The 23,422-nt window shown below is 43.2% G+C and overlaps 2 protein-coding genes across 6 annotated transcripts in view, besides 3 other annotated features; one reads left to right on the plus strand and one right to left on the minus strand.

Annotated features, from left to right (window-relative positions):
- Positions 1–20,149, minus strand: part of GLIS3 (GLIS family zinc finger 3) — a 666,339-nt gene extending 646,190 nt beyond the window's left edge. The window contains exon 1 of the mRNA XM_047422890.1: positions 19,312–20,149. The gene's annotated coding sequence lies outside the window, so the exon portion shown is untranslated. The remainder of the gene's footprint in view (positions 1–19,311) is intronic.
- Positions 16,415–16,504: a silencer, noted in NCBI's record as "silent region_19741". NCBI's record gives its function as "represses an Ori minimal core promoter by ATAC-STARR-seq in GM12878 lymphoblastoid cells {active_cell/tissue: GM12878}" and the evidence as "EXISTENCE:reporter gene assay evidence [ECO:0000049][PMID:35858748]".
- Positions 19,750–19,799: an enhancer, noted in NCBI's record as "active region_28146". NCBI's record gives its function as "activates an Ori minimal core promoter by ATAC-STARR-seq in GM12878 lymphoblastoid cells {active_cell/tissue: GM12878}" and the evidence as "EXISTENCE:reporter gene assay evidence [ECO:0000049][PMID:35858748]".
- Positions 19,950–20,379: a silencer, noted in NCBI's record as "silent region_19742". NCBI's record gives its function as "represses an Ori minimal core promoter by ATAC-STARR-seq in GM12878 lymphoblastoid cells {active_cell/tissue: GM12878}" and the evidence as "EXISTENCE:reporter gene assay evidence [ECO:0000049][PMID:35858748]".
- SLC1A1 (solute carrier family 1 member 1) overlaps positions 20,152–23,422 on the plus strand; it is a 97,002-nt gene continuing 93,731 nt past the window's right edge. For all 5 annotated transcript variants that reach the window (XM_011518007.2, XM_017015042.2, NM_004170.6 and 2 more), the window contains exon 1: positions 20,152–20,454. In XM_011518007.2, the coding sequence (XP_011516309.1) occupies positions 20,364–20,454 (91 nt within the window). In that variant the 5' untranslated portion in view covers positions 20,152–20,363. The remainder of the gene's footprint in view (positions 20,455–23,422) is intronic.

Here is a 23,422-nt window from a genome sequence, read left to right on the forward strand (position 1 = left end):
GCCAATATCCCCGATGAATATCGAGGCAAAAATCCTCAATAAAATACTGGCAAACCAAATCCAGCAGCACATCAAAAAGCTTATCCACCACGATCAAGTTGGCTTCATCCCTAGGATGCAAGGCTAGTTCAACATATGCAAATCAATAAATGTAATCCAGCATATTAACAGAACCAAAGACAAAAGCCACATGATTATCTCAATAGATGCAGAAAAGGCCTTTGACAAAATTCAACAATCTTCATGCTAAAAACTCTCAATAAACTAGGTATTGATGGGACGTATCTCAAAATAATAAGAGCTATCTATGACAAACCCACAGCCAATATCATACTGAATGGGCAAAAACTGGAAGCATTCCCTTTGAAAACTGGCACAAGACAGGGATGCCCTCTCTCACCACTCCTATTCAACATAGTGTTGGAAGTTCTGGCCAGGGCAATAAGGCAGGAGAAGGAAATAAAGGGTATTCAATTAGGAAAAGAGGAAGTCAAATTGTCCCTGTTTGCAGATGACATGATTGTATATCTAGAAAACCCCATTGTCTCAGCCCAAAATCTCCTTAAGCTGATAAGCAACTTCAGCAAAGTCTCAGGATACAAAAATCAATGTGCAAAAATCACAAGCATTCTTATACACCAATAACAGACAAACAGAGAGCCAAATCATGAGTGAACTCCCATTCACAATTGCTTCAAAGAGAATAAAATACCTAGGAATCCAACTTACAAGGGATGTGAAGGACCTCTTCAAGGAGAACTACAAACCACTGCTCAACGAAATAAAAGAGGACACAAACAAATGGAAGAACGTTCCATGCTCATGGATAGGAAGAATCAATATTGTGAAAATGGCCATACTACCCAAAGTCATTTATAGATTCAATGCCATCCCCATCAAGCTACCAATGACTTTCTTCACAGAATTGGAAAAAACTACTTTAAAGTTCATATGGAACCAAAAAAGAGCCCGCATTGCCAAGACAATCCTAAGCCAAAAGAACAAAGCTGGAGGCATCACGTTATGTAAATTCAAACTATACTGCCAGGCTACAGTAACCAAAACAGCATGGTACTGGTACCAAAAGAGAGATATAGACCAATGGAACAGAACAGAGCCCTCAGAAATAATACCACACATCTACAATCATCTGATATTTGACAAACCTGACAAAAACAAGAAATGGGGAAAGGATTCCCTATTTAATAAATGGTGCTGGGAAAACTGGCTAGCCGTATATAGAAAGCTGAAATTGGATCCCTTCCTTACACCCTATACAAAAATTAATTCAAGATGGATTAAAGACTTTTAAGTTAGATCTAAAACCATAAAAACCCTAGAAGAAAACCCAGGCAATACCATTCAAGCCATCGGCATGGGCAAGGACTTCATGACTAAAACACCAAAAGCAATGGCAACAAAAGCCAAAATTGACAAATGGGATCTAATTAAACTAAAGAGCTTCTGCACAGCAAAAGAAACTACCATCAGAGTGAACAGGCAACCTACAGAGTGGGAGAAAATTTTTGCAATCTACCCGTCTGACAGAGGGCTAATATCCAGAATCTACAAATAACTTACACAGATCTACAAGAAAAAAACAAACAACCCCATCAAAAAGTGGGCAAAGGATGTGAACAGACACTTTTCAAAAGAAGACATTTATGCAGCCAACAAACACATGAAAAAATGCTCATCATCACTGGTCATCAGAGAAATGCAAATCAAAACCACAAGGAGATACCATCTCACACCAGTTAGAATGGCAGTCATTAAAAAGTCAGGAAACAACAGGTACTGGAGAGGATGTGGAGAAATAGGAATGCTTTTACACGGTTGGTGGGACTGTAAACTAGTTCATCCATTGTGGAAGACAGTGTGGCGATTCCTCAAGGATCTAGAACTAGAAATACCATTTGACCCAGCCATCCCATTACTGGGTACATACCCAAAGGATTATAAATCATGCTACTATAAAGACACATGCACACATATGTTTATTGTGGCACTATTCACAATAGCAAAGACTTGGAACCAATCCAAATGTCCATCAATGATAGACTGAATTAAGAAAATGTGGCACATATACATCATGGAATACTATGCAGCCATAAAAAAGGATGAATTCACGTCCTTTGTAGGGACATGGATGAAGCTGGAAACCATCATTCTGAGCAAACTATCACAAGGACAGAAAAACAAACACTGCATATTCTCACTCATAAGTGGGAACTGAACAATGAGAACACTTGGACACAGGGTGGGGAACATCATACACGGGGGCCTGTCATGGGGTGTGGGGAGGGGGGAGGGATAGCATTAGGAGATATACCTAATGTAAATGACGAGTTAATGGGTGCAGCACACCAACATGGCACATGTACACCTATGTAACAAACCTGCACGTTGTGCACATGTACCCTAGAACTTAAAGCATAATTTAAAAAAGAACTAAAATTGTCGTCATTTACAGATAACACGTTTTATATATATATAAAATCAGAAATTATATATAATTATTGATATTAAATGAACTTAGCAAGATTGCAGATCTGAAGATAATTATTGTAAAAATCAACTATATTTCTAGATATCATTAACAAACAATTGAAAAACATTTTTAAAAAATACTGTTTACATTCCTTTGGGTATATATCCAGTAATGGGATTGCTGAGTCTAACGGTAGTTCTGTTTTTAGATCTTTCAGGAATCACCACACTGCTTTCCACAATGGTTGAACTAATTTACACTCCACCAACAGTGTATACGCATTTCTTTTTCTCTGCAACCTTGCCAGTTATTGCAGCACTATTCACAATAGCCAAGACATGGAATCAACCTAAATGGCCATCAATGATAGACTGAATAAAGATAATGTGATACATATACACCATGGAATGGAATACTACGCAGCCATAGAAAGAATGAGATCAGCCTGACCATCATGGTGAAACCTTGTCTCTACTAAAAATACAAAAAGTAGCTGAGCATGATGGTGGGCGCCTGGAATCCCAGCTACTCAGGAGGCTGAGGCAGGAGAATCGTTTGAACCTGGGAGGCAGAGGTTGCAGTGAGCCAAGATCATGCCATTGCACTCCAGCCTGGGCGACAGGGCGAGACTCCATCTCAACAACAACAACAACAAAAAAAAAGGATCATGTACTCCTTTGCAGGAACATAGATGGAGCTGGAGGCCACTATCCTTAGCAAACTACTGCAGGAACAGAAAACCAAATACCACATGTTCTCACTTACAAGTGGGAGCTAAATGATGAGAACACATGGACACATAGAAGGGAACAGCACACACTGGGGCTTATCAGAGAGTGGAGGGTGGGAGGAGGGAGAGGATCAGGAAAAGTAACTAAGCTTAATACCAGGGTGACAAAATAATCTGTACAACAAACCCCTGTGACATGAGTTTACCTACATAACCAACCTGCACATGCACCCCTAAACTTAAAAGTTAAATAAAAATAAATAAATAAAAATTTTTAAAGATGCTATTTACAATCATATCAAAACACCTTAGATACTGAGAGAAAAACCTAATGAAGATGCACAAGACCTGTATGTAGAAAACTGCAAAATATTATTTAAAAAAACTAAAAAAGACCTAAATAAATGCAAAAATAGACCAGCTTCATGTATTAGAAGGCTCAAAATTCATGAACCTGGTATATTGTAAAGATGTCAGTTCCCCCCTAAAGCTATCTAAAAATTCAAGTCACTCCCAAACAAAATTTCAGAAAGTGTTTTTCTGTGTACATCTGTAAGCTATCTAAATTTTATATGGAAATTCAAAGGATGATTAATAAGCAAGACAATCTTTAAAAAATGTTCCAGGATTTACAATATCAAATACCAAAGCTACATATAAAGCTACAATAATCAAGGCAGAGAGAATTAGTGGAAAGATAGACAAATAGATCAGTAAAACAAAATAGAAAGTTCAAGGTGGGCAGATTGCTTGAGCTCAGAAGTTCAAGACTAGCCTGGGCAATATGGTGAAACCCCATCTCTACAAAAACAAACAAACAAAACAACAACAAAAACCCTAGACGCAGACACACAAATAGAAAGTTCAGAAACAGACGCACACATATACATATGCCAAAGTCATGTTGCAATGCAGAGGAGACAGGATGATCTTTTCAATAAATGCTCCTGGATTAATTGGATATCCATAGGGAAAAAAATGAATCTTCATCCATATCACACAAAATAATGAATCCCAGATAGATTTTAGATTGAAATGAAAGAAGCAAAATAATAAAGCTTCTAGAACAAAACATATAATATCTTCATACCTTTGGAGTAAGCAAATATTTATTTTTTTTATTTTTTCTTTTTTTACTTTTAATGTGAAGTCCAAAGCAATTTTTTTTTTTTTTTTTGAGATGGCGTCTTGTTCTGTCACCCAGGCTGGAGTGCAGTGGCATGAACATGGCTCACTGCAGCCTCAACCTCCCAGTCTCAAGTGATCCTCCCACATCAGCCTCTGGAGTAGCTGGGACTACATGCACCTGCCACCACACCCAGCTGATTTTTTTAAAAAAGTTTTTACAGAGACGGGGGCTCCCTATGTCGCCCAGGCTTGCAAATATTTCTTAAACAGAACTCTGCTCCAAACTTAAAGGAAACTTTTCATAAATTGGACTATGTTAATTTTTTTTTCTTTTTTTTTTTTTTTTGAGACGTAGTCTTGCTCTGTCGACCAGGCTAGAGTGCAGTGGCATGATCTCGGCTCACTGCAAACTCTGCCTCCTGGGTTCAGGTGATTCCCCTTCCTCAGCCTCCTGAGTAGCTGGGATTACAGGCGTGAGCCACCGCACCTGGCCAAAATTTTCAAATTCAGAAGAAATCACTAAGACAGTGAATAATGAGAAAGGGTATTTGAAATACATATGTCCAGAAAAGGGCTCACATAGAGGAAAGAATAAGATGGACAACCTTATAGTAAAGTAAGAAGAGGCTGAACAGATGCTTCACAGAAGAGGAGCTATCCAAATGCCCATTAAATATTATGAAAAGGTGCTCAATCAGGGTTGTTTTTCATTTCATTTAATTTTTCCAGAGAGCTTGTTGGCAAACGTTTACCAGAGCATTCTTGAGTGAGGTCTATGCTATTCTTTGTGGTATTATTTGTAACAGCAAAATACTGGAAACAAACCAGATTTCTATCACTTGTGAACTTGTTAAATAAACTATGGATACACCCACACAGTGTAGTATTCTGCAGCAGTGCAAAGGAATCAGGAAGATTTCTTTATAATAAACCTACACAGAGAAATATTAAGTAGAAAAAGAATGAGGAAGATTTCAGTATTATGATATTGAGTAAGCACAAGAATATATTCTTCAATGAAAAAAGGAGGCACAGAACAGGGCTTGTAAGCTGCCATTTTGTGTACAAGGGAGGGGAATATGAATATAACTGTGTGTTTATATTTTCTAAAAAGAGGCAACTGAAGAATAAACCAAACACTAATAGATAATTAGTCGCTACCTACAGTGGGAGAGAGGGTAGTAGAAGAAGAGAGTCGTTGGATATTAATGTGAGAATTCTCTGATTGTGCCAGTTTCTTGTTTGTCTGTTTTATTTTTTTGAAATACAGATGGGGTCTTGCTATGTTAACCAGGCTGGTCTCAAACTCCCGGGCTCAAGTGATACTCTCTCCTCAGCCTCCCAAATTGCTGGAATTACAGATGTGAGCCAACATGCCTGGCCTGATTATATTGTTTTATAGTTTTGAGTGAACTATGTAAATGTTTTAAATAATTTAAAAATTATGAAATTCTTAAAAACCAGTTTCTGACATTTGAAAACAAAGGGATGAATGTAATCCACTGATGAACAAAATCATATTCATACAATGAATATAATCATAGCTGTATATCAAATTGATGGAATAACACAGGGAAAATAATTCTTTACAGTATCTTTTAAATATAGTAATTTGATTATATATCTTTACTGGTGTATCTCTGGGGACCATGAGAACCACAGAGAAATCTTAAACTGAATTCAGTGGGGTTTTTTTGTTTTTGTTTTTGTTTTGAGACAGAGTTTCCCTCTTGTCACCCAGGCTGGAGTGCAATGGCAGGATCTCAGCTCACTGCAACCTCCGCCTCCTGGGTTCAAGCGATCCTCCTGCCTCAGCCTCCCAAGTAGCCGGGATTACAGGTGCCTGCCACCATGCCCAGGTAATTTTTGCATTTTTAGTAAGGATGGGGTTTCACCATGTTAGCCAGGCTGGTCTCGAACTCCTGACCTCAGGTGATCCACTCACCTCAGCCTCCCTAATTGCTGGGATTACAGGCGTGAGCCACCATGCCCGGCCCAGTGGTCTTATTATTAGAAATAATATGGGTCTTGTTTTTTTTTTAACTATTATGTGTACATTATAGTATTAGGAAATAAGTACTTGAATTAATGTTTTTAAGAACCAAGATTTTCAAGGAAAAGAGAAAAGAAATAAGAATAAAAATTTCTAAAGTGTAGCCACAATCCTAAAAGCTTAAATTTGAATTGATTCATCTCTGTTAGAATAGCTGTTTTTAGACAGAATTTTAAAAACTAGAAAATATAATAACAAATATTGGTGAGGATGTGGAGAGACTGGAACCCTTGTTCATTGCTGGTGGGATGTAAGATGGTACACCTGCTATGGAAAACAGTACGGCAGTTCCTCAAAAAATTAAATATAGAATTACTATATGTTCCAGTAATTATGCTTCTGGGTATATGCCCAAAATAATTTAAAGCAGGGACTCAAACAAATACTTGTACGTCCATATTCACAGCATTATTATTCACAATAACCAAAAGGCGGAAGCAACCCAAGTGTCCATCCACCAATGGATGGATAAACAAAAATGTGGTAAATACATACAATGCAATCTTAGCCTTACAAAGGAAGGAAATTCTGACACGAGTTTCAACATGTGTGAACCTAAACGACATGATGCAAATTGAAATTAGCCACTCACAAAAGAACAAATATTCATAGATACAGAAGTAGGATGGTGTTTGCTGGGAGTTAGAGTGGGGTGGGGGTGGGAGGTGGGGAATAGGACATTAGTGTGTTTTGGGGGGGCTGGGTTTTTTTTTGAGATAGGGGTCTCTCTTTGTCACCCAGGTTGTAATGCAATGGCGTGATCACGGCTCACTGCAGCCTCAACCTCCCAGGCTCAAGTGATCCTCCCCCCTCGGTCTCTGGAGTAGCTGGGACTGCAGATGTGCACACCACACCCAGCTAATTTTTGTATTTTTTGTAGAGATAAGGTCTCCCTATGTTGCCCAAGCTGGTTTTGAACTCCTGAGCTCAAGCGATCCTCCCGCCTGGGCCTCCCAAAGTGCTGGGATTACAGGCATGAGCCACCACTCCTGGCTAGAGGTTAGTGTTTAATGGGTTCAGAGTTTCAGTCTGGGAAGGTAAAAATGTTCTGGAGATGGATAGTGGTGACGGCTGCAGAGTAATATGAATGTACTTAATGCCACCAAACTGTACACTTAAAAACATGGTAAAATTAAAATGGTAAAATTCATTATGTATATTATACCATAATAAAAAATGAAATTGGAAACAATAATATGAACTTATCATTTGTCTCTTGCTATGAAATACATATTTCTAAGCCTTGTCCACTGAAAAGGCCCAGAAACAACATAGCAATGAGCCACGATTACCAAGACTGTAGCTCCTGAATACTATTTCCCATGAACCGGAACCTGAACGCTTTAGAGAAATAACTGATTCCAGTTTCAGGGCAAAAAATATACAAGATGGTCTTGGGACATCTTGCTGAGTCAGAAAACAAAGACACTATTGAAACAAGTGGTTGTTTAAAAAACACGGATGCCAGAATGAAGGGGCTCCCATTGGCCAAAGATGGGATGATTTGAGCGTGGGAAAGGATCATGATTGTAACTGATTGGAACACATAAATCTATCCAAAACACATATAAATCCATGTGTTTGTACTAATACTTTAAAAATAAAAAGCCCCGGCGCAGTGGCTCAGACCTGTATGTAATCCCAGCAATTTGGGAGGCCAAGGCGGGAGATCACTTGAGGTCAGGAGTTTGAAACCAGTCTGGCCAACATGGTGAAACCCCCTCTCTACTAAAAATACAAAAATTAGTTCGGCCTGGTGGCGGGCGCCTATAATCCCAGCTACTCCGGAGGCTGAGGCACGGAAATCGCTTGAACCCAGGAGGTGGAGGCTGCAGTGAGCTTAGAGTGTGCCACTGCATTCCAGCCTGGGCGACAGAGATTCCATCTAAAAAAAAAAAAACATCAGTAGTCACCTTTGGAAGTTGCAAGTGCACTAATTCATTATTGAGAAAACCAACCAAGGGAAAGAAATTAAGCATTTATCCTGCCTTTTCTGTATAAAATCTATTTAGGGTAACCAAATAGTTGATTCCAGAAAATATATGCAGAAGAAATGTTAGAATTAGAATGAATTTTTTAAAGGTCTTCACCATCACCAATAGATGCTAAAACCATATGTGAAGGGTTGATGGTGAATTTATCGTAGTTGAATCAGGCTGACATCAGAATCCACTGTTCAATCTTAGCATTATGAAATAGCAAACCTCTACATCTAACTACCAACTTATAGGAAATATTGGGGATAGAGAAAAAATTAATTTCCACTATGAAGAAGGAATTAGCCAAATCCAGAATGTGGGGAATTTTGTAAGACAAACGACCAAGTACCTTTATTTTTTTAAATATATATATTTTTCAATGTTCCTGCAGAATTTTTTATTATTTTTTGTAGAGACAGGATTTCACCATTTTGTCTAGACTGGTGTCAAACTACTGGGCTTGAGCAGTCCACCTGCCTCAGCCTCCTAGAGTGCTGGGATTATAGGCATGAGCCACTGCACCAGGCCTCAACCTAGTCCCTTTAACAAATAAATAAGAGAGATTGTAGAATAAAAGATACTTTACAACTTAACCAAATGTCATGTGTGGACTTATTTAGATCCTGGTGTCCAGAGCATTGTCCTTCATGTCCCTGCTTGCAACATTCCCTGTGGGCCTTTGTGGATAAAATCTACAGCTGTGAAGATGTATTCTTTCCTGTCTTTTGGCTCAATTAGGGCTCAGGGCATTTACCTACACCTCACTTCAAGGCCTACACCTCACTTCAGCTACTGCTAGTAACAAATATGCAAGTCTGTACATTGGGCCAGTTCACAGAGGTTCCCTAGACTCTAAGGAGGGTCACTCACCCAGCCCATGACCATACTGTGGCTCTCAAGTCAGCACCCCTGCCTCCAGTTACCAAGGGTGGTTAGGAAATGAAATCTCAGAGTATCTCTCCACCTGGCCACACTGCCTTGCTGTGTTGGTGTTGGTGTGGTTGTGGCTGCACCCCAGGTTAGGAAGGGGCAACCTGGGAGGCAGACCCCTATCTGGGGAGTGGGAGACAGAGCTGCTACCCTCCTTTTTCTAACATACACTCCTTCCTGGATGAAGCTTAGAGAGAGAAAACAGGACCACCATCGCTTCTCCTGTCTCCCTTCCTTCTTCCCATCATTCTCTTGACCACACAATAATTTCTTCTTCTTTTTTTTTTTTTTTTTTTTTTGTATTTTCAGTAGAGATGGGTTTTCGCCATGTTAGCCAGGCTGGTCTTGAACTCCCGACCTCAGGTGATCCGCCCACCTTGGCCTCCCAAAGTGCTGAGTGCTGGGATTGTAGGCGTGAGCCACGGCGCCTGGCCTTGACCAGAAAATATTTTCTTCTGATTCCCTATGTTTTCACCTCCTGCTGTGATAGAGTGACAGATGTTATAGGTGGAGACGTGTCTTTCTTACACTACAGAAGAATTCTGTGAGACAAGTTTTCCAGGCTGGGCTTTCTTTTTTTTTTTTTTTTTTTTTTGAGATGAAGTCTCACTGTGTTGCCCAGGCTGGACTGCAGTGGCATAATCACAGCTCACTGCAGTCTAGACTACCCAAGTTCAAATAACCCTCCCACCTCAGCCTCCCAAGCAGCTGGGCCTACAGGCATGTGCCATCACACCTGTCTAACTTTATTTTTTGTAGAGTCAGTGTCTCATTATGTTTTTCAGGCTGGTCTTGAAGTCCAGGTTCAAGTGATCCTCCCTTTATGGCCTCGCAAAGTGCTAGGATTATAGGCATGGGCCACCATGCCCAGCCAAGCTTTAGATATTCTAATGAAGAAATGGAGGAATATGGCATATTCTTTCTCAATAATCCTCTTTCCTGTACCTAATGCTATATATCATACAGAAGTGGAACGTTACCACATTTTCAAAATTCCTCTGTAACAAATCATAATATCCTCAGCATACGAACGCCTTGGCCTACCGGGGCAAAAAGCATGTGCTCAGGAAGGCAAAAAGAAAAAAAAGCACATTAATAATTTTAATATTACCCTTAACACACACATACATTTAATTGGAATTGTAGAATGCATATTGTAAATTTTATATTTTCAAGTATACAAGTAATAAATTACTACACCTTCATTGAAAAAAAAAAAAAAACCCACCTACTGGTTTTTTTTCTGAGACAGGTATTGCTCTGTTGCTGAGGCTAGAGTACAGTAGCTTGATCTCAGCTTACTGGAGGTCCGGACCTCGGGGGTTCAAGTGGTCCTCCCACCTCAGCCTCCAGAGTAGCTGGGGCCATGGGCAAGCACCACCACACCTGGCTAATTTTTTGTATTTTTTGTAGAGACAGGGTTTTTCCATGTTGCTCAGTCTGGTCTCAAACTCCTGGGCTCAACTGATCCTCCCAAGTGGGCCTCCCAAAGTGCTGGGATTACAGGCATAAGCCACCTCACCCAGCCCTATCTACTGTTTTATAACTTACTTTTGCATTTAAAAACATAACTAGGCCAGATGTGGTGGCTCATGCCTGTAATCCCAGTACTTTGGGAGGCCGAGGCAGGCGGATCACCTGGGGTCAGGAGTTCAAGACCAGCCTGGCCAACATGGTGAAACCCTGTCTCTACTAAAAATATAAAAATTAGCCGGGTATGGTGGTGTGTGCCTGTAATCCCAGCTACTCAGGAGGCTGACTCAGGGGAATCGCTTGAACCTGGGAGGTGTATGTTGCAGTGAGCCTCGCACCATTACACTCCAGCCTGGGCAACAGAGCAAGACCCCATCAAAAAATTAATTAATTAATTAATTAATTAAAAACATAAGTGTGTGTGTGTGTGTGTGTGTGTGTGTACCGTTTTCCAGTGTAATTCATTTCCCCATGTAATTCCCATGTAATTCAGGTCAAAGCTAAAATATGCTTTTCAATCTCTAAATGATGTCTCATTATCTAGTGTACTTTTACACACTTAATCTTTAGCCAGTTCACTTTACTAGACAGTTAAGTTGTTTCCAGCTGAGCTGGGGTGAAGAGCCCTTGTGCACATCTTTGGGTATTTTTTTCGTTATAAGTTTCTAGAGGTAGAGTGTTTGAGTTAGAGAATACATGCACTTATGACTGATGTTACTAATTGCCTAACTGTCCTCAGAAAAGTCACAGCATTGTCTGGGTCTACCCGCAGGGTGTGACACTACCCATTTCTCCATACCTTCTCTAAGTTTACAATTTATAATGTTAAAAGTATAAATTTTGCAATTGTAAATTTTAAAAAACGTATGTCAAAATATCTTTACCTAGCTGGTAAATATTGGTTTAAACTTGTATTTAGTTCTAGTGAGATTGAAGATTTTTTCATGTTTTAATATGTATTGACTATTTGCATTTATTAATTTAAATGGTATCTTCAGATAAGAAAATTGAGTTTCAGAAAGTTTAAATTACTTGGTCAAGGACATACAGCTTGTGTGAGGCAGACAGAGAACTTTTCTTTCATATCCTAAAATGAAATGGAATTTTTCTTCAATTTGTCAGAGTGAGCAATAAAGCCCATGAGGTAAAGTTCTATTGAAGCCAAGAGTTCAAGGTCATATAACTAATAGATAAGTTCTTTCCAGCCATAGTATCTTTATAAAATATTACTTGGAGAATTGTCGTGAAAGTTTAATGAGTTACAGTTCTTTTCTTCTTCAATTTATAGTTCCAAGATAAGTTCTATCTAGACTGAGATTGGAAGATGAAGAGACTGTTAAAAAGTGTGTCTAGCTGCGCTGACACCATCTTTCTCCCCACCCATGGGTCACGAAAATCCATGCAGCTGAGATGCTGAAGGAGACTCTGGTACTCCATGACCTCCTCCTCACTTGCCACCGCATGAGGACAAAGCAATCAACCATAAATGTTTTATGATGATAGAATACAACCAGGCAACTATTTCTAGAGATACTCAGAAGCTGATGTCTTACTTTTTGTTTCTGAATGCCCTTTTCATTTGTATCCTAATTAATATATGGTCTGTTGATGTAACTTTTTGTGGCAAAGTCAAAGTCTCCTTCCTTTAGTAACTAACAGGAGAGGCCATGAGTCAACTATTTTTTAAAAAGGGAAAAAAATAACAACAAAGGAAATACCAGAATCACTTAAGTCTTTAAAAAGCAGCAACAGCATACTAGCAAAATGTAATTAATAAAAACTAGCCAAAGGTTTATTTGGATGGTGGAATTTGAAGGACTTAGGGAAAAAAAGAGAGAAGCTAACATTTATTGGAAGGAAAAAAACATTCTAACAAGTCTTTCAATTTGGCTTGGAGAAAGAACTTTTTCTTCCAGGAGCTGAGTGGCCAAGTTCTTTCAAGTAGAGCTTGCAAGGGAAATGCCTCTCAACTTTTGTTCAATTTGAGATCATTTGTGTCCATGACTATTAGAGGACAATAAAGTAAAAAAGAATCGAAGTTAAAGATTAGTATCACTAGACATCCCCCCAAAGTGATGCTTCATATACTATATCTTGCTTTAGGCAGAGAAATGCCGTAAATTGGTTGCAAGCAGCAGTTACAGAGGATTCAGGAGTTCAACCACTGCCGCGTGAAATGTATTTAGTGCCCAATGGAGCACAGCACATTAGAGACCAAAGTGTCTGCTGGACACAGGTGAATGGACTCTTAAAGACCTTGCACAAAATACAACATGTAACTCGGCTAGTTTTTTTTGTAACAACTCTATATTTGTTCCTTACATAAGAGGTGTTGGTGGCTGGGTGCGGTGGCTCACGCCTGTAATCTCAGCACTTTGGGAGGCCAAGGTGGGCAGATCACGAGGTCAGGAGTTTGAGACCAGCCTGACCAACATGGTGAAACCCCATCTCTACTAAAAATTCAAAAAAATTAGCTGGGTGTGGTGGTGCACGCCTGTAATCCCAACTACTCAAGAGGCTGAGGCAGGAGAATCACTTGAACCTGGGAGGCGGAGGATGCAGTGAGCCGATATCATGCCACTGCGCTTCAGCCTGGGCAACACGAGTGAGACTTCGTCTTGGGAAAAAAAAAAAAAAAAAAGAGGTGTTGGTTAAGTGCACAAATTCTAGAGCCAGACCATCTGGCTCAACCCTTTCTCCTCCTGTTACTGACAGGGAAAACTTACACAAGGAGCTGAATCTTTTTGTGCTTCAGTTTCCTCAGCTGTAAGATAATGATGATAAGCCATCATATCTCATTTGATTCTTCCAGCAGCCTCATGAAGAAACAATAATCCTCACCTCACTGAGATACTGAGAGGACCAAGTGAATTAGTTTGGGCCAAGTGCTTAGAAGAGCGCCTGGTATATAAGTGCTTTGTGTTTGCTTTTGTTGTTGTTGTTGTTATTACCAGCTAAAATGGAACTTCTATGTAGCAATAGTATAAATATAGTTTAAAATCCACTTGGCCCGCTGAAATTGCCTTTGCAAAATTATAACAGTAAGAGAAATCTGACATAGCTGACTCTACTTGGCTTCTAACCTCTAAGCTATCCTTGTTCATTCCTGGGCATAAGCCAAACTAACTTTTTTTTTTTATTTTTTTTATTTTTTTGAGACGGAGTCTCGCTCTGTCGCCCAGGCTAGAGTGCAGTGGCATGGTCAAGACTCACTGCAACCTCTGCCTCCCAAGTTCAAGCGATTATCCTGCCTCAGCCTCCCGAGTAGCTGGGACCACAGGTGTGTGCTACCATGCCAGGCTAATTTTTTTTTTTTTTTTTTTTTTTTTTTTTTTTGAGACAGAGTCTTGCTCTGCTGCCTAGGCTGCAGTGCAGTGGCTCAGTCTCAGCTCACCTTAACCTCTGCCTCTCGAGTTCAAGCAATTATCTTGCCTCAGCCTCCCGGGTAGCTGGGATTACAGGCCCTGCCACCACACCTGGCTAATTTTTGTATTTTTAGTAGGGACAGGTTTCACCATGTTGGCCAGGCTAGGCTCGAACTCCCGACCTCAGGTGATCCACCCACCTTGGCCTCCCAAAGTGCTGGGATTATAGGCGTGAGCCACTGTGCCCAGTGTAGGCCAAACTAACTTTAGGAGGAAGTTATAGTTTAACCTTAAAGTAAAGATAGTAATAGCCCTTCCCAAAACTATCCCTTCCTCATTGGAGGTCAGGAATCGTCTTTGTAGAACCAATGAAAAGACACAAGATTAGGATTATGAAGGGAGCCTGAATTCTGCTAAGTTGTAGGCATAAATTATAACCAACCATCGGTCCAGAGGACACAAGATTTGTAACTTCTCCAATTTACTCCTGTAGATAACATCATCATTATTGTAGAACCTAAGATTGGTTTTCTTTTTCCTTTTTTTGGGGGGGTGGGGGTGGTGGGGGGACAGGGTTTCACTCCCGTCGACCAGGCTGGAGTGCAGTGGAGCCATCTCGGCTCACTGCAACTTCTACCTCCTGGGTTCAAGCGATTCTCCTGCCTCAGGCTCCCGAGTAGCTGGGATTACAGGCACTCACGACCATGCCCAGCTAATTTTTGTATTTTTAGTAGAGACAGGGTTTCACCATGTTGGCCAGGCTGTTCTTAAACTCCTGACCTCAAGTAATCCATCCTCCTCGGCCTCCCAAAGTGCTGGGATTACAGACGTGAGCCACCGCGCTCAGCCCTAAGGTTGGTCTTCTGAGATGTTTTTCAGACTTGGATTTCTGAGGACTGGCTGACTACACTCAGATCCACAAATCAACCAGTCCTGTAGCCCCACCCCAGAGACCGACTCTGCATAAGGACCACTTTCCACACCCCTGTGATTTCATCTTCATCCAACCAGCAGCATCTGTTCCCTAAATCCTGACTACCAAGTTATTCTTAAAAACTCCAGCCTCCAAATTTCCAGGGAGGCTGATTTGAGTAATAACTTCCTGTCTCCCCATGTGACTAGCTTTGCATTAATTAAGCTCCATCTTTACAACAATACCAGTGTTTCAGTGAATCAGCTCTACCTGTGCGGCAGGCAAGAACCCATCAGGGGATTGCACTACCAGTGATCTACTTTTGAGACTCCTGCCTCTGCTTTTTTTTTTTTTTGAGACGGAGTTTTGTTCGCTCTTGTTGCCCAGGCTGGAGTGCAATGTCGCAATCTCAGCTCACTGCGACCTCCGCCTCCCCAGATTCAAGCAATTCTCCTGCCTCAGCCTCCCAAGTAGCTGGAATTATAGGTTCCTGCCACCATGCCCAGCTAATTTTTTGTATTTTTAGCAGAGATGGCGTTTCACTATGTTGGCCAGGCTGGTCTCAAACTCCTGACCTCAGGAATCCACCCCCCTTGGCCTCCCAAAGAGGTGGGATTACAGGCGTGAGCCGCCGCACCTGGCCCGACTTTTGCTTTTAGTCGGGGAGATTTTTATTATTTCAAAATGTTTGTATATATTGAAATTTTTAAAATCTTTTATATTGTACTATTTTCAATGCATAATTTAAATGAACATAAAACAAGTATGCACTATAGGAGCTTTAGGTGTTGTTGGGCTCAGAATCCAATACCCCAAAATATGGCATTTTGACATGTTGACATGGAGAAACCTCAAGGTCTCTCTGACTTCCCCTGCCACCGTCTCCCACAAAGAAGTGGAAGTTCCTTTATCTGCGTAAGATTCAGACCCATCAAAGAAAGTAATTGCTTGTTCTTCCCCTCCCTGTAAGACCAAGAATGTAACCACACCTGAACACTTTCACTATCAAAGAGAACTATTCACACATTAATCTCTGTTCAGAGATCCATTCATTCTCCCTAGTAATCCCCTCAGCAATTCCTCTTCTCTTCACCTCCCAAAACCTGTTTTACCAGGATTCAAGCCCCCATTCTTTCTGTAACCTCCAGATAGTATATAAACTTCTGGACCTCATTGGGAGGCTAGGTCTTCATTTTGAAGTCTCCCGTGTGTATACGTTCAATACATTGGTATGCCTTTTCTCCTATTAATAAATCTGCCTGTCAGTGATTTTGAAGCAAACCTTCAGGGGACCAAGGGCCTTGGTCCTCCCAGTGTGAAAGTGCAATGGGTGATGTAAGGCCTCTTGTCACCCAGGCTGGAGTGCAGTGGTGCAATCATAGCTCCCTGCAACCTCAAACTCCTGGGCTCAAGCCATCCTCTTGCCTCAGCCTCCCAAGTAGTGAGGACTACAGGCATGTGCCATCATGCCCAGGTTATTTATTTATTTTTTTAAGTTTTGTAGAGCCAAGATTTCACTAAGTTGCCCAGGTTGGTCTCAAACTCCTGGCTTCAAGTGATACTTCTGCCTCAGCCTCCCAAAGTGCTGGGAATATAGGTGTGAGTCGACACTCCCGGCTCTATGGTAGACACTTTGGAAATGCAAAAAGTAGAAGGCAAAGAAGACCATTGTTAAAATTTTGACATATTTCTTTTGTCATATTCTCCACCTACTGGGTTCAAGCGATTCTCCTGCCTCAGCCTCTCGAGTAGCTGGGATTACAGGCACCCGCCACCACGCCTGGCTAATTTTTGTATTTTTAGTAGAGATGGGCAATTCCTGATGATCAATGAGCAAGAGTTCTCGTGGGTCTGAAGGGGTTCAGAGTGTGTTAATGACAGGCAGGTGTTAAAAGATGGTGTTAAGAGATGCCTGTCCAGGTTGACTCCAAGTAAAATTGGTGGTGATATTTGTTTTGTGCCAGGGAGTGTTCTAAGCCTTTCACACAGATTATTGTATTAAATTATTAAAATACCTCCATGAGGTAAAGATAATTAATGCCCCCATTTTACAGATGAAGAAACTGAGACATAAAAAATTTAAGCCAGGTGCCCAAGGTCACCAAGCTGATAAGTGGTGGTGCTGGGATTTAAGCCTAAATACTTTACCCCGAGAACCCTAGTGTAATTGTCTTATTACAACCCAGAAAGTTGTGATGTACACATAGTTCCTCAGATGCTTCCACTTTTTTCTCCCCTCAGGAATGTTTATTTTGTAAATACTGCCCTATCTACAACTGTAATGAGCATGGGTATGCTTATGGTCAACACTTTTTTTTTTTTTTAAATAGATAGAGTCTCGCTCTGTCACCCAGGCTGGAGTACAGTGGTACAATTATAGCTCCCTGCAACCTCGAACTCCCGGGCTCAAACTATCCTCTTGCCTCAGCCTCCCAAGTAGCAGAGACTACAGGCATGTGCCATCATGGCCAGATTATTATTATTATTAAGTTTTGTAGAATCAAGATTTCACTAAGTTGCCCAGGTTGGTCTCAAACTCCTAGCCTCAAGTGATCCTTCTGCCTCAGCCTCCCAAACTGCTGGGAATATAATTGTGAGCCAACACGCCCAGCTCTATGGTAGACACTTTGGAAATATAAAAGATAGAAGGCAAAGATGACCATTGTTAAAATTTTGGCATATTTCTTCTGGTCTTTTTTTCTAAGCACATGGTTTTATTTCGTCTGTTTGTTGGTTGGTTGGTCGGTTTAGTTTTTGTAGAGACAGTGGTCTAATTATGTTGTCCAGGCTGGTCCTAAACTCCTGGGCTTAAGCAGTCCTACCATCTCGGCTTCCCAAAGTGCTGGGATTACGGGTGTGAGCCACTGCACCTGGCCAATATGTTTATTTTACACACATGTGATCAAATTGTACATGCAATTTTAGTATTTCTTTCTTCCCTTTATATTTATAAATATAGATTTATAACATGTGCCATCCCATGCTGTTAAAAACTTCATAAACTTCCTTTATGTAGGCTGCATAAGGTACTGTTGCTTGGCAGTTCCATAATATATTTACCATTCCATTTATGTTGGACATTTGCGTTTTTTCCAGCTGTTTTTTTACTGTGGGACAAATCTGTTCTCTCGCGCACGCTCTCTCTCTTTTTTTTTTATGAGACAGGGTTTCCCTCCGGTCGCCCAGGCAGGAGTGCTGCAGCGTGATCTCGGCTCACCGCAACCTCCACCTCCTGGGTTCAAGTGATTCTCCTGTCTCAGCCTCCCGAATAGCTGGGATTACAGGTGCATGGCCCTAAACCCGGCTAATTTTTGTATTTTTGGTAGACGGGATTTCCCCATGTTGGCCAGGCTGGTCTCGAACTCTTGACCTCAAGTGATCCGCCTGCCTTGGCCTCCCAAATTGCTGGAATTACAGGTGTGAGCCATCGCGCCCGGGACTATTCTCCCTTTCTTGATAGTTTCCCTTCTGACATTTCCTTCCTTCTTTCTTTCTTTTTTCTTTTTTTTTGACAGTCTCGCTCTGTCGCCTAGGCTGGAGCGCAGTGGCTTGATCTCAGCTTACTGCAATCTCCACCTTCCAGGTTCAAGCGATTCTCCTCCCTCAGCCTCCCAAGTAGCTGCGACTACAGGCACGTGCCACCACGCCCGGCTAATTTTTTTGTATTTTTAGCAGAGACGGGGTTTCACTGTGTTAGCCAGGATGGTCTCAATCTCCTGACCTCGTGATCCGCTCGCCTCGGACTCCCAAAGTCCTGAGATTACAGGCAAGAGCCACCGCACCCGGGTCCCCTTCTGACATTTCTTCAGATCTTCCTCGGACACCCAACGACCTTAAAATCCCTCTAACCTTCTTTCTCTCAAAGTTTACTTTCTATAAAGAGCTGATAAACTCATTCATACTAAAGTCTACAGGGTTGTAAATCTTAATCTATTATCGCTTAAAAGATGCTTGTATCAATTTACACCAAAGGGATGAAGCTCTAATTGTGGGGATTTAGTCATCAGAAAATCTAGTAGGGGAAATTCTCCCTACCCACAATCAGAGTAGATTCTACAATAGCAAAAAGGGTTCCAGGCTCACTTAACTTTAGGAACGCTGATAAGAAGACCGCTTACAGCTGCGGAGGTACTGATTTGGTAAAGGGAGGGAAAGAGATTGTATACGTGAGAGTGAAAAAATTGGGTAGAAAAATGGAAGAGCATCAGAAATTCACTTAGCAACACCAAATATATTTGGCACCACTAACCTAGTTTCTCCTGTGTTTGCCTTTCCAATCCGTTGGACCTTAGGGGATGGACCGCCCACTTTCTCCCCAGAGCGGCTCCCGGGTCCGGTTCTCAGTTCTAATCACTGCCCCAAGCCTCCATGCTCCAGGGCCTGTGGTCACAGAGCAAGTCCCAAGGAGCAGAAGTAAAGTTCTAAGAGAAATCACCATCTCCTTGTGCAGGGAACACTCCCAAGCCCAGTGTCCACAGACAAATCACCTCCAGCGACTCGAAGAGGAGAATAATCCCTGTGGGGGCACTGGAGGCTCCGCGTGAAAGTTTCCAAAGCCATGTTCTGCCCCAGGACTCCTTTCTCTCCTCCCAGAAGCTTCAGGCTTTCGCGGCTGCTGGCACATCCCAGCCTGAGTAGCCGAGCAAGAGGGACCCAAGGCAGGATCAGCTTCCCCCGACTTGAAAGGGCACCCGTTCTGCAGGTGCCGGCGCTGGAAATAGCTGGTGTGGAGAACGGAGAGGGAGACGTGCAGGATGAAGTCCGCGCCCAGGAGGGCAGTGGCTCCGCCTCTCTGGGTTAGGGACAGAAGAAAACCCTTAACCCAAAGCCCTAGCATGAGTGAGGCGTGGAAAGCGAGACAGACTCCAGTGGAAGGCTGTGGGGCGGGACTCAGGGTTCCCGGAGAGGCCGCCCCAGCTCCTGCCGCAGCGCTGGGCGCCCTACCACGCCTGCTCCCTAGGGACCCCGGGCGTCCCACGCACGCACCCACCCTCCTTCCCGGGCCTGCCGCTCCTCCCTCCTTCCTCGCTGGTTGGCCCAGGCGCCGCAGAGCGCGGCGGCAGCAGGAGGAGCCGGGCGCGCCTGCCACGCAAAACTACCGGGCTGGCAGGGCGGCGGGCGCGGTGCGCGATCCCGGGTGGCGGCGGCAACGGCGGTGGTGACGGCGGCGACTGCAGCGGCCGGCTCTCACCTCTCCCCTGTGCACCCGCATCTCGCCGCGCCGCCGAGCAGCCAGCAGTCCCCGGGTCGCCCAGCCCACGCGCGCACGGCCGAGCCCAGCGCACAATAGCGGCGACAGCCATGGGGAAACCGGCGAGGAAAGGATGCGAGTGGAAGCGCTTCCTGAAGAATAACTGGGTGTTGCTGTCCACCGTGGCCGCGGTGGTGCTAGGTGAGCGGCGCGGCGGGTGGGCGATGCGCGCACCCTCACGCGCTCTCTGCGCCCAGGCCGCGTGCGGCTGAGGGTGGGCTTGGCGCTGGCGCACTCCATGCAGGGTCCCTCGATGCCCCCTCGGCCTTAGCCTCGGGCCCCCTGCGGGGGCTTTCCCCCAAGCGCTCTAATTACTGCACACCAAGAACAAAGCTCCTCTGGGACTCCCATTTGAGTGCTCCTTGAGCTGCTGGTTCCTGCTCTACCCAAAATGATCAAAGGGGCTTGGGGGTAGAAAGGGAAGCAAGTAGCTCTTGGTTCTGCTCGTTTGAAAACAGGGTTCGATTTTTTTCTTTGTTAATCCCGCACCGTATCTCCCCCTATCACCGCCACCTTCCTCACCCCACACCCCCAGCCTCGCTGCGCGGGCAGAGATTGAGTGTGGATTACAGTTCTCAGTCGAATTGGAAGAGGCACCCTGGCCTCCGGGATGGGCCGGACCCTTAGGGGAGGGAGGCTGAGAACGCTGTCGCCGCTCATCCTGGGCAGTGCGTGGAAAGGTGCCTTCCCACGCGGCGAGCGCCGACTGCCTGCACCCGGGCTCTGAAAAGCTGCCAGATTCGTGCCTGAATTCTGGGATGTGCCACTGTGGCCCGCGGGAGGTCACCGGGGAAGAGAGCTAAGAGAACTCAGCCGTCTCTTCTCCTGCCTTCCTTGCTCTCCACGTTGTTTTTGTATTTAAGATAATGTTTAAGCCATCCTTGCCTGTTTTTAAACAAGGGTGTATTTAAGTGATCCACCCCTCACAGATCACTGGACCAGGTGGATGTCTGAGCCATTGCTCAGAGGTATGAGTTATTCCTATTTAGATTCTGATTTTTTACCAAGGTTGTGTGTTTCTAGCTCCGGCCCGGGGATGCACTTCCTTGGGATTAGCGCCATATCTGTCGCCTTCCCAGTGATAGCTCCTCAGCAGGTGAGGGCTGTTGCACCCTCTGAGGAATGTGGATTCCTCGGCAGGCTCCACCTTCCCCTTGGAAACTGCAGCTGTGTTTGCTGAAAAGGCAAGTGGGGACAGCTTGTTTCCTCCCAACCTCAGGTACCTTCCTCTCCAACTGCTGCTCCTAAATCTCAGAATATATGGTGTTGCTTGCTTCTCCTCCGAACCGCCCCCTCCCCTCAGGGTGGGGATAGGGCATGGAAATGGCCTTTGGAAGTTAATGGGATTCTTGGGGTCAGATTGGATTCTCCAGAACCTTGGGGAAAGGAAAGTCAGGTTTCTAGTAAATAAATAACATCCTGGAATGGCCCTAGCAGAGGCTATTTGTAGGAGGAAAGGAGAGAAGTACAGAAGCAAATCTTGACTATTTCCCCCAAGAAGTGCCAAGTGGTTTTGGAACTTTTTTTTTTCGGTTTTGAACATTTTTAAGGGAAAGTTTATCCTACTCTACCATATTTAAATAGCATACGCTACAAAGAACGACTTGATTTCCTTTAGGCCAAAGAGAAGAGATGGCCTTGTTTGTTTTCCTAGTGATAAGAGTCGAGGATTAATTGTTAAATCTCTTTTTGAAGACTGAGAGATGCCAGGGCAAGGTGGCTCATGCCTATAACCCCAGTTACTCGGGAGGCTGAGGCAGGAGAATTGCTTGAACCCAGAAGGCAGAGGTTGAAGTCAGCCAAGATTGTGCCACTGCACTCCCGCCTGGGTGACAGAGCAAGAATCCACCAAAAAAAAAAAAAAAAAAAGGAAAAGGACTTTTAGAGGGCCAGGCACGGTGACTCACACCTATAATCCCAATATTTTGGGAGGCCAAGGAAGGAGGATTGCTTGAGCCCAGGAGTTGGAGACCAGCCTGGGCAACATGGCAAAATGCCATCTCTACAAAAAAGTACAAAAATTAGCGTGGTGGTGCACATCTGTAGTCCTAGCTACTCAGGAGACTGAGGTGGGAGGATCACCTGAGCCCAGGGAGGTCGAGGCTGCAGTGAGCCGTGATCGTGACTCTGCACTCCAGCCTGGGCAACAAGAATGAGACCTTGTCTAAAAAGAAAAAAAAAAAAGACTTTGCAGGATAAACATTGGCTTGAGTCTCCCTCCTGATTCCCTGTGGAAGTGGAGTTATCCTGCCTTTTCAGCATGGGGCTCTCCAGAGATACTCACTTGCTACCCAAGTGTTGCACACCACTCGTCAGCATGCGATTCACTGGAGACTGGTTTGGAGAAGGTTTTAAGCAATTGTTCCCTGGCCTTTGGAATCAGTTGCGTGAATAAGAAGAAGTACATGCTCATTTTGCAGACATGGCCTTTGGTCTCAGATGGGCACTTTCCTCCAATTTTAATGTCTGTGAGCCCCAAGAGCTTAGTTTGAGTACTTTTCTCCAGAAAGGAAAGTCACCACTTAAAAATCAAGTGCCCAGCTGAAATCTTCCTAGATATTTGTTCCTTCAGATGGCAACAAAGGGCAGTCCTGCTTCTGGTCTGAGAAGTCTCAAACCTAGACCACCCCCGATATGCCCATTAACAGGGGTCCTTTTCTTGTCCTTTTTCTTCAGAGTACTGGGCCTGAGTGGAAACTCATACTTGTTTGTGTAGTCTGTAAGGGCTGATTTGTTTAATTGACAGTGAAATTCCAGTGACTTATAACAGTGGCACTGAGTCTATTCATAAACCCTTGCTAGATAATGATAGTAAGAGCTTATTTTATAACTGCCTTAACTGATCCAGAAAAATCGCAAGAGCTCTAATGCAGCCTCCCTTTTGGACTTTTCAGCATGTGGAACTTAAAGAAGAAAAAAAACTGTGAAATTTATTAACTATCATGACAAAACATCTTCTTCTGATTATAGCCGTTCAAATGTTTGGTCCCTGACCAGGTGCAGTGGCTCAGACTTGTAATCCTAGGACTTTGGAAGGCCAAGGTAGGAGGAATGAGTGAGTTCAGGAGTTTGAGACCAGCCTGATCTCATCTCTATTTCTAAAAAAAAT

This window comes from Homo sapiens, chromosome 9 (assembly GCF_000001405.40).
Source record: "Homo sapiens chromosome 9, GRCh38.p14 Primary Assembly".
Lineage (NCBI taxonomy): Eukaryota > Metazoa > Chordata > Mammalia > Primates > Hominidae > Homo > Homo sapiens.